At 36.6% G+C, this 11826-nt stretch overlaps 1 protein-coding gene across 6 annotated transcripts in view; it reads right to left on the bottom strand.

Moving 5' to 3' along the window:
* Nucleotides 1–11802, bottom strand: part of STARD6 (StAR related lipid transfer domain containing 6) — a 33367-nt gene extending 21565 nt beyond the window's left edge. Inside the window, exons 1-5 of one of the 6 annotated variants that reach the window (NM_001394379.1) lie at nucleotides 11488–11802; nucleotides 10305–10388; nucleotides 9715–9794; nucleotides 8428–8521; nucleotides 7998–8080 (exon numbers count right to left, since the gene is read on the bottom strand). In NM_001394379.1, the coding sequence (NP_001381308.1) occupies nucleotides 7998–8080; nucleotides 8428–8517 (173 nt within the window). In that variant the 5' untranslated portion in view covers nucleotides 8518–8521; nucleotides 9715–9794; nucleotides 10305–10388; nucleotides 11488–11802. Of the gene's footprint in view, nucleotides 1–7997; nucleotides 8332–8427; nucleotides 8522–9714; nucleotides 9795–10304; nucleotides 10389–11487 lie in introns of all 6 variants that reach the window. The other 5 variants (NR_138549.2, NM_139171.2, XM_047437300.1 and 2 more) reach the window with 5 other exon arrangements.
* Nucleotides 11803–11826: the final 24 nt, after the last annotated feature.

Here is an 11826-nt window from a genome sequence, read left to right on the forward strand (position 1 = left end):
CGGATAAATTGAACTTCAAGAAAATTTTTAAAAATTGTGCTTCAAAGGATACCATCAAGAGAGTGAGAAGACAACCTACAGAATGGGAGAAAATAGTCGCAAATCATATATGTGATACTAAACTAGTATCCACAGTGTATAAATAACTCTTCCAACTCAACGATAAAAAGAAATTCAATTTTTTAAAAAAGAGTTTGGATAAATATTTATCTAAAGAAGATATATGAATGGTCAATATGCACGTAAGAAGAAGCTTATGGTCACAAGTCATTAAGGACATGTAAATCAAATCCACAATGAGATACCACTACATACCCAACTAGGATAGCTATAATCAAGAAGACAGATATGAAAAATGTTGCTGAAGAGGTGGAGAAATTGGAACCTACATACACTGCTGTTAGGAATATAAAACGGTGCGGCCAGTCTCTAAAATGATCTAGTAGTTCTTCAAAATATTAAACATAGAATTGCCATATGATCCAGCAATTCCAGTCCTAGATCTATAGCCAAGAGAAATAAAAATATATGTCCACACAAAAATTTGTACACAAATTTCATAACAGCATTATTTATAATACCTAAAAGATAGAAACTAAGTATATATTAACTGACGAATAGATAAAATGTGGCATATCCGTACCATAGAACATTATTCTTCAATAAAAAGAAATGAGGTACTGACACAAGCTACAACATGGGTAAACCTCAAAAACATGATAAAAGAATTTGTGAAAGAAGCAAGTCACAAAAGACCACATAGCATGTGATCTCCTTTATGACATGTCCAGAATAGGCAAATATAAAAGGCAGAAACTGTCACCTAGTCGCCTGGGGCTGGGGTGAATCGGATAATGGGAAGTAAATGCTAGTAGGCACAAGTTTCTTTTTTGGGGAGGAGAATGTTCTAAATGAAATTATGGTGATCCTGGTACAACTCTGTATATATACTAACAATCACTGAGTTGTACACTTAAAGTAGGTGAAATTTAGGGTACATAAATTATCTCAATAAAATTGTTAAAAATGAATTAGTTCCACAAGTCCTTTTTTTCTGAATTAGAGAATGACATTAAATTTATTTCTCATCTAATCTATTGCATAAAAACAATTACAACAAAAATTCTTAATGTCTCTTGAGTAGGTAGAGAACCTATATTTTATCTAAGTAACTTGCTCTAAACTGCAAACCAAAATAAGATGATTCAATAACGTATTTTATAAACTAGTCTTTAGCAATTATTTTGTTATCATATCTTTTATTCTCAACTTGTATTTACTCATTATAAATATATTTCCTAATTTCCTGCTCTGCCCACACCCAGCATTAACTATAAACCAGCTGATGTTAATGGTTGTGGAGTTATTGATGGATACTGATGTTACCAATTTTTTATTTGTGAAAGAGAATTGTGTGAAATGACCTAATATAAACCCCAAATTCTATTTTAAAAATAGTACTACAATATTCATCACTGAATAACATAACTTTTCATTCCTTAAGTTTTTCATAAAATGGAATGGCAGCAGAGTTTGAACAACGCTTTCCAAATTATTATATTAATAATATCTGAATTATTTTTGTAGTTAAGAAAAATGTTAAGTTTAGGAAGATATTGAACCAGGTTTATGAAGATACTAAACTGGGGTGTTTTTCATTGTTCCTCCAAATATATCTACACATTATGTAGAACCAGGATGAATCCTGAGCTGTTAGAACTCTTTATTTTGGTCACAGCAACTTTATTAATTACATTTGTTACTTTAAAAAATGTTTAACCTGTGATATGGGTTGGTTCTGTATCCCCACCCAAATCTCATCTTGAATTGTAGCTCTCATAATTCCCAGGTGTTGTAGGAGAGACCTGGTGGAAGATAATTGAATCATGGAGGCGGTTTCCCCCATATTGTTCTCGTGGTAGTGAATAAGTCTCATGAGATCTGATGTTTTTTATAAGGGGTTTCCCTTTTCACTTGTCTCTCAATTCTCTCTTGTCTGCTGCCATGTAAGAATGACTTTCATCTTCTGCTATGATTGTGAGACCTCCCCAGCTACATGGAACTGAGTCCATTAAACCTCTTTCTTTTGTAAACTGCCCAGTCTCAGGTATGTCTTTATCAGCAGCGTGAAAATGAACTAATACAACCTGTTTAAACCTGAATGCTTTAATTTATAAAACTTACAAACTGTCTCACATGTCTGCCTCAGAAGGTAGAATAGAGGATTAAATGTAGTGGTGGTAATGATGGTGGTAATAAGTAGTAACGACAATGGAGGAGAAAGTAGTATCCTAAACAAGCATGAAATGCCTAAAGGCAGAAAAGGTACATTCTGCCAGAATCCATCTCTGGATAATCTGCCTTCATTATTCCACAGATACATCTTGACAGTTTTGATGAGGTCAGAGAGAATAATGATTAAGAAAGTACAGCCTTTGAGGTAAAGTCTTGGTGTCTAAGTTTTTGTCTCACTAACACTAGTTAGGTGACTTGGAGATAGTAACTTACATAGGCCCTTATTCATTTGTAAAATGGGGATAATAACAGTGCTTACATTGTGGGAAATATGAGAAATATATTTAGAAAATGAAAGAAAAGTATTTAGCATGGTGCCTGACATATAGTAGGACATTACTGTTCACTGCTTCTAACACTGAGAGAAATGTGTAGACCTATGTGCTGGTAGGTCTGTATTTCATCCCTTAAGAGCAGAAAGGAACGAAATTCCAACCAAAGAACTGCTTCTCTTCCAGGCAAATGCTTAAAGCTAACCACAAAAGGCCCTTTTTGAGTAGCAAATTATTAAGAAAAGGCATAAGTGTTGAAAAATTATCTTGAGTTTATTTTTTTGTACTGCAGTTATAAGATATATAACTTCCCATTTGGTAGCCAATATAATATAACTGAAGTCCATAAATTCATTCAATATTTATTAAGTGTCTTGGTGAGAGACACTGTTCTTGTGCTAGGGATACTGCAATGAATGCAGTGATTTATTTCTAGTCTGGTGCCTATTAAAGTTAGTATCCTCATCAAGTTTATATTCTAATATGAGAGACATATAATACGTAAGAAAACAAAGAAGATAAATTTCATATAGTGAAGTGCTATGAAGAAGATAATAGCAGAACAATGTAGTAAATAGAGGTTTAGTGTGTGTATTTGGGAACTTTGGCCACGTGGCTAGGAAGGTCATTCTGAAGAGGAGATAATGAAACTGACATCTTGAACATAAAAATGACATTAGCCTTGGAAACATTTGGGGGAATAGCTTGCCAGGCAAGAGGAGAGCAACTAAGAAGGCTCTGAGATGGGTTTAAGTTCAGTGCATTCAAACAACAGAAGTCCATTGTGGCTGTGACACAGGGACAATGAAGAGAAGTGGTCAGAAATGAGGTCAGAGAGGTAAGTGGGGCCCAGATAGTTACCTGCACATCACGATAAAATGTTTGGACTTATTTCAATAGGTTTTGGGGAAACAGGTGGTTTTTGGCTACATGGATAAATTCTGTGGTGGTAATTTCTTGAGATTTTGGTGCACCCATCACCTGAGCAGTGTACACTGTACCCAATGTGTAGTCTTTTATCCATCCTCCTCCTCCCACCCTTTCCCTGGAGTCCACAAAGTCCATTATATCATTCTTATGCCTTTGTGTTCTCATAGCTTAGCTTTCATTTATAGGTGAGAAAAGATGATGTTTGGTTTTCCATTCCTGAGTTACTTCACTTAGAATAATGGTCTCCAACTCCATTCAGGTTGCTGTGAATGCTATTATTTTGTTGCTTTTTATAACTGAGTAGTGTTCCATAGTTTATATATACCACATTTTCTTTATCCACTCATTGGTTCCATATAATTGCAATTGCAAATTGTGCTCCTATAAGCATGTGTGTGCATGTGTCTTTTTCATATAATGACTTCTTTTCCTCTGGATACATACCCAGTAGTGGGGTTGCTGGATCAAATTGCAGTTCTACTCTTAGTTCTTTAAGGAATCTCCATGCTGTTTTCCATAGTGGTTGTACTGATTTACCTTCCCACCAACAGTGTAAAAGTGTTCCCTTTTCACCACATCCATGCCAAAATGTATTATTTTTTGATTTTTAAATTATGGCCATTCTTGCAGGGGTAAGATGGTATCTCACTCTGGTTTTAATTTTCACTCCCTTGATAATTAGTGATGTTGAGCATTTTTTCATGTTTGTTGGCCATTTGTATATCTTCTTTTGAGAATTGTCTACGCATGTCCTTTGCCTACTTTTTGATGGGATTATTTGTTTTTTTCTTACTGATTTGCTTGAGTTCTTATAGATTCTGGGTATTAGTCCTTTGCTGCATGCATAGTTTGTGAATATTTTCTCCCATTCTGTGGGTTACCTGTTTCCTCTGCCGATTATTTCTTTTACGATGCAGAAGGCTTTTAGTTTAATTAGGTCCCAACTATTTATTTTTGGTTTTGTTGCATTTGCTTTTGAGTTCTTCGTCATGAACTCTTTGCCTAAGCCAATGTCTAGAAGAGTTTTCCCAATGTTATTTTCTAGAGTTTTTATGGTTTCAGGTCTTAGATTTAAGTCTTTGATCCATCTTGAGTACATTTTTGTAAAAGGTAAGAGATGAAGATCCAGTTTCATTCTTCTACATGTAGCTTGCCAATTATCCCAGCACCATTTGTTGAATAGGGTGTCCTTTCCCCACTTTATGTTTTTGTTTACTTTGTTGTGGATCAGTTGGCTGTGGGTATTTGGCTTTATTTCTGGGTTCTCTATTCTGTTCCATTGATCTACGTGCCTGTTTTTATACTAGTCCCATGGTGTTTGGTAACTAGAGCCTTGTAGAATAGTTTGAAGTTGGGTAATGTGGTGCCTCCAGATTTATTCTTTTTGCTTAGTTTTGCTTTGGCTATGTGGACTGTTTTTTGGTTCCATACGAATTTTAGGATTGTTTTTTCTAGTTCTGTGAAGAAGGATGATGGGAGTTTGATGGGAATTGCATTGAATCTGTAGATTGTTTTGGCAGTAGGGTCATTTTCACAATACTGATTCTACTCATCCATGAGCATGGGATGTGTTTCCATTTGTTTGTGTCAGTGATTTCTTTCAGCAGTGTTTTGCAGTTTCCCTTGTAGAGATCTCTCACCATCTTGCTTAGATATATTCTTAAGTATTTCTTTTTTTGCAGTGGTTGAAAAAGGGGTTGAATTCTTTATTTCATTCTCAGCTTGGTCACTGTTGCTGCATAGCAGTGCTACTGATTTGTGTACACTGACTTTATCCTGAAACTTTATTCACTTATCAGATCTAGGAACTTTTTGGATGAGTCATTAGGGTTTTATAGGTATACAATCATATCACTGATCAACAGTGACAGTCTGTCTTCCTCTTTACCCATCTGCATGATTGCTCTGGCTAGGACTTCCAGTACTATGTTGAATAGAAGTGGTGAAAATGGGCATCCTTTTCCCGTTCCAGTTTTTAGGAGGAATGCTTTCAACTTTTCCCTGTTCAGCATAATGTTGGCTGTGGGTTTGTTATAGATGGCTTTTACTTCTTTGAGGTAAGTTCCTTCTATGCCTATTTTGTTGAGGGTTTTAGTCAAAAAGAGATGCTGGATTTTGTCCAGTGCTTTTTCTGCATCTATTGAGATGATCAAAATTTTTGTTTTTAATTTTGGTTATGTGATCTATCACATTTATTGACTTGGGTATGTTAAACCATCCCCACATCCTGGGTATGAAATGCATTTGATCATGGTATATATTATCTTTTTGATATACTGTTGGATTAGGTTAGCTAGTATTTTGTTGAGGATTTTTGCATTTGTGTTAATCAGGGATATTGGTCCGTTTTTTTTTTTTTTTTTTTTTTAATGTCCTTTACTGGTTTTGTTATTAGGGTGATACTGGCCTCATAGAATGGAGGATTCCTTCTTTCTCTATCTTTTGGAATAGTTTCAGTAAGATCATACCAATTTTCTTTGAATGTCTGATAAAATTCAGCTGTGAATCCATCTCGTTCTGGACTTTTTTGTTGGCAATTTAAAAAATTATTGTTTCAATCTTGCTACTTGTTTTTGTTTTTTTTTTTCAGATTTTCTATTTCTTCCTGATTTAATCTAGGAGGGTTGTATTTTTTCCCAGAATTTATCGATCTCCTCTAGATTTTCTAGCTTGTGCATGTAAACGTGTTCACAGTAGCCCTGAATGATCTTTTTGTATTTCTGTGGTATTGGCTGTAATATCTCCCATTTCATTGCTAATTGAGTTTATTTGGATCTTCTCTCCTTTTCTTGGTTAATCTTACTAATGGTCTGCCATTTTTTTCTTTTCAAAGAACTAGCCTGTGGTCCCAGCTACTTGAGAATCTTGCCAACAACAATGTGAGTGAGTTTGGAGCATAGCCTCCTTCAGTTGAGTCTTCAGATGAGACCTAAGCCCTGTTGACACCTTGATTACAGCCTTGTGGATTCCTTGAGGCAGAGGCACCTAGCAAAGCTGTTCCTGGATTCCTAATCCAGAGAAGCCATAAGATAATAAATGTTTAAGTAGCTAAGTTATGGGATAATTTGTTGTGCACCAATAAATACCTAGTATACAGTGCATATAAATTTCACTCAAACTGTGAGTGCAAAAAGTACCAATTGTTTAGTTTTGCATGTAAGAGTAAAATATCTCTGATGAAAATTTCCAGTAAAGCTTTAGAACAGCTTAACAGAACCTATTCTTTGGCTCTAGGCATTTGTATAGCACTCTCTAAATAAATACTCAATAATTACTTGTAGACTAAATAAATAACTTCCAAGCTTTTAAAAAATGCCAAGGTTGCTGTCTACACTGGTCTGATCTGTAAGATACCAAAAAGCCAAATTATCCAAAAGTTAATTCCCCTAGTGTACCTAGGCTTGACCATACCCACTCCTCCCTGTTTATTTTTGAAAGTGCCTGTATTAGAACCATTATTTCAATAAGGTAGGGATTATTTTCCTGATCATTGTTAAAGTGAGTGGGAGAAAGCATATCAGCTTTGTCCAATGGTAAAAAATTGGGCTGAAATATAATATAGGTAAATTTTATTGAAATTTTAAAAAAGCAAGAAACATAAAATGAGGTAGTTGAAAGAAGGAGTGGACTCCAAAAGAAAAGGAATTGAATAAAATTTGATGATCTGATGGCCCTGATGTACTATCATGAGCAATAAATGAACTCTGAAAGATTAAGCTAAAAAAAGTCAATATACTTTCCCTTAGTGTACTTGTATTTGAAATAATTTTATCCTTAAAAGTATATTTAAAAGAAGCATACAGAAAAAAATGCATATTTAAAATGAGGAAGTAGGCTGGGCACAGTGGCTCACACCTGTAATCCCAGCACTTTGGGAAGCCAAGACAGGCAGATCGCTTGGGCTCAGGAGTTTGAGACTGGCCTGGGCAACCCCATCTCTACAAAAACATATAAAAATTAGTCAGGTGTGGTGGTGTGCACCTGTAGTCCCAGTTATTCAGGAGGCCGAGGCGGAAGGACTGCTTGAGCCCAGAAGGCACAGGTTGCAGTGAGCTGAGATTGTGCCACTGCACTCCAGCCTGGTGACAGAGCAAGACCCTGTCTCAAGAAAATAAAATAAAATGAAGAAATACACTTTACTTGTTAGTGGTTCATTTAATGGACACATGAAGGGTTTAAAATTCCATAAAATATTACTGTTAGCAAGAAAATACCAATCTGCTTTTATAGTAATTATTTCTTGAAGTGAAAATTTCCTATTTAGTGAATTAGTAATTAGAAGAGATTTTTTATCTGATTGTCATCAGATTTGAAAATAGAAGATTAGATGGTATCTGATTGCTGTATTTTATTATTATCACATTTCTGCCTAGTGACTTAATAATTTCTATTTATTACTATAAAATAATTTATTATAGCTAATGAAGCAGCACTGAAATTCCAGATACATCAATGGCATTGAATTTAAAACAGTAATTGTAAATAGAAGATTGTACTCACAGATTTCCATGGAATTTTCTAGAAGCCTTACTGGAAACAGTTATCTTTTTCTCAAAGGGGAATAAAAATCCACAAATAATTAGCTGTCAAATGCAGGAAAAATGAAAATGAAAAACTAACAAAAGTAAAAACACTTTTTTTTCTGGTTTGTAAAAGAAAAAAATATATATATATATTTTTCAGAGACAGGGTCTCACTATGTTGCCCAGTCTGTAGTGTACTGGCTATTCACAGGCACAATCATGGTGCATGACAGCCTCAAACTCCTGTGCTCAAGCAGTCCTCCTGTGTTAGCCTCCTGAGTAGCTGGGACTATAGGTGCACACCACTGCACCTGGAACAGAAAATATTTTTTTAAAAAAGTCTTTACAATGAATTGTTTCTTACTTAAAAACAAAGTCTTGAAACATAATTTAACTTATTTTCTTACTGAAGTTTTAACCACTTTCCAGCCTGATGTATCTCGATTATAACCTAAAACTTCTTGGGCAGTTTGTTGGGCAATTGCCTTGAAGTCCATCTATCTGCAAGTTTTAAAAACAAACAACTGGTAAGAATATAACCATATAAAAACTTAAAAAGTGCTATCTTACATTTTAATATTATTTCTATAATGCCTGTCACATAGAAATGAACATAATTACTTGATGAATGCATGTATGCATGAACCCCTCTCTCCTTACAGTCTTTCAAATGAGAAACTGTGGTATAGTGGAAAAATCTAGACTTTGAAATCAGAAACCTGGGTCATATCTTGTCTCTGCCACCTATTGTGTGAAGCATGTTACTTAATATTTCTGTTTTTCCATTTCTCTCAAGGTAAAATTAGGATAATATATGTCTTGTAGAATTAGCGTGAGGATTAGATGAGATGATATGCTTAAGGTTCTATCCAGTGCCTGGCATGCGATAGTCATTCAATAAATAATTTTAATTTCTAACAGTTTAATCACACGTCCTTTGTCTTGTGAAGCATTATGAGCTGTTGGTTATGTGTTCTTGAGGATTATTTAAAGTGCGTAGCAGTGGCACTACACGATCTGACCCCTGGCTTCCTCTTCAAATATACCTCCTACCAGTCTTCTTCTTGTCCACTTAGCTCCAATCATTTGATCTCCTGGCTGTTCCTCACATACAATAAAGCAATTTCTGACTTCAGGTTCTTTGTACTTGCTGTTCCTTCTGCTTGTCACTGTCTTCTGCAATGTGTTCATATAACTGACTGTTTCATAGGTATCTTTGCTTAAATGTCACCTCCTCAGATAGGATCAAGTTTAAATCAACTCAATTTAAACACATTGAACCCTGCTTGAAGTTAGAAACTGCAATGGACTGAATGTTTATGTCTCCCTAAAATTCATATGTTGAAATCCTAACTCCCAGGGTGATATTAGGAGATGATTAGGTCATGAGGGCAAAGCCCTTATGAATGGGATTAGTGCCCTCACAAAAGAGACCCCAGGGAGCTCAATGGCCCCTTCTTCCATGTGAGGACACTGCCAGAAGTTAGCAGTCTGCAACCAGAAGAGGGCCCTCACCAGAACCTAACCATGCTGGCACCCAGATCTCAGACTTCCAGGATCCAGAACTCTGAGAAATAAATTTATTGTTTACAAGTCATTCAGTCTTTGGTAATTTCTTATGGCAGCCCAAAAGGACTGAGACAGGCACTGTGGTAGATGTAGCAACAACAGTTGAGTAAGATACTAGACATAACTATTACTGCTGTGAATGAGTTCCGGAAGCTGCAGTCTCACTGGTCCTTCGGGTCATCATCCAGCTTTCAGTTAGGGGAAGCTGGCAGGTAAGGTGAAAACAGAACTGGATTCAAATCCTGACTTTGTCACTTAGTACAGCTATATTATTTTGGATAAATTGCTTAACCTTTGAACTTCAACTTCCATATCTATAGAATGGGGATAATAATATCTATCTCACCGAATCATTATAAGGATTAGTTGAGTTAATATATGTAAAAATGCTTTAAACAGTGTGGAGCCCTATACTAGGTTATCAAAATAGTTAGTTTCTCTTTAAAAAAATGGACACATATAAATCCATCATTTAAAAAACTCTCCAAAGATCTGCTTCCTTAAGCACTTAAATAAACCTTCTTAAAGTTTAATTATTGGAACATTTCTTCCTTAGCTCTCACTTAAAACTCTTCAGGTTGGATCATAAATCTATTTTCTCTTATTTAATTCTCCAGCAAGGCACAACAGGTAGTTGATAGTCTCTATATTTGAAAAGTTTTAGTAAACCATTATTATAACCTCCTCTTTCCTAGCAGAGTCCTGGTTTCTTTACCTTTCCTGACAGATCTAATGCAGAATTTTAGTAACTACTGGGGCTCCTCTCCAAATCCTTGTGGAAATCTCCATATCTCTTAACCTGTGAGGAAACAAGGCAGAAGTAGAATTATTTTGATCCATGAATTAGGTCAATATATTTGATAATTTTCTTTATATCTTCTCAGTGTCCTTTATCTATACTTTGTCTTCATTAGGAAACATTTGCTACATATATGCCCCAAGATGAAAGAAAAATATAGTACAAAAAACTTTAAAAGATACTGTTTATAAAAAGAATCTTTAAGAAACTATTTTAAAGGAACTCAGTTTAAAAAGACACTTAGGTGGAACGTGGATACAAAAATTTAAGTTTTTAAGCTTACGTCACTAACAATTAACAAGGATTGTTAATCCCCGACCAGGGCTCGTCTTAGCATATAAAACACCGTTCTTGATTTCCTATTGGAAACCTACTTGATATTAATTGATCTAGAGACTTTGAAGATTATTGGGACATACCACTAGCAGGGTATGTCTTATTTTCAAATCACCAACTATTACTGCCACAATAGACCTGTGTTTAACCACTAAACTGAACGTTATAGCTTCCGGACTTTTTCATTTGCTAAGAGAAAAGGGAAGGTAAAATTTAGTAGGCTACAAAGGGTAAAAAGAAGAAAGTGCAAACAGTAAGACTACAATTGTATTACATGGTGGTGGAACGTCGGATGAGCTGGAACATATTCAGATGGACTCATGGTCAAGGATATCTTCACTCATAGGGTCAGTGGAAAATAAACATAAACCAACATTGGGATGGCCTCTTTTTTTGATACACCAATTGGTTGAAACTGGATTCCTTCCAGACTTACAGACAGGTTCACACATGTTAGTGAGTCTTTACATCTGTTTGTACAATGACCCTCTTTCTGAGCTGCCTGACTGGGTCCCCAATCCGTGCGGGGTCACTGCCATTCTTCCCTGGGAATCAAGGCTTCCTAGGAGTTTGTTAAATCCCATCCCTGGCTAAACTCGGGTCTCCAATCTCCCATCTGCTTTGTGTGTGAGAGGCTCCGGGGTGTGAGAGGAAAGGCACTGAAGAGGGAGTGAAAGAAGTGGTGAGGGGGGACTGCCTACTAGCTGAGACGATATCTTATTTTTGGCGGGGGATGCTCTGGAAGCGGGGAGGCTGAACTCACTTGGAAAAACTGGAGCTGTGGGGCAGACTCTCAGCGACCGGAACGACAGCCGCCAGCGCCCTTAAGTCTCCCTCCCCACCCAGTCCCCTCCCGCAGACCCCGGGGCCGGCTGAAGGGAGATCAGCAAGTCCCCGCGCAAACTGGCCGAGAATAGCTGTGACGGAGGTTGGAAGGGCGTGGGGGGCAGCGACTTGGATGCAGCCCACATCCCCCCATTCCCAGCCCCAGAAAGGAGGGAGAAACAGCACCTTCCAGCAGGGGTCGCGACCTAACGCTCAACAGCATCCTCTCTTCTCCGGCCGCTCCCTCATCTCCGCTCGCGCCCGGCGCCCCACTGCC

This window comes from Homo sapiens, chromosome 18 (assembly GCF_000001405.40).
Source record: "Homo sapiens chromosome 18, GRCh38.p14 Primary Assembly".
Classification (NCBI taxonomy): Eukaryota; Metazoa; Chordata; class Mammalia; order Primates; family Hominidae; genus Homo; species Homo sapiens.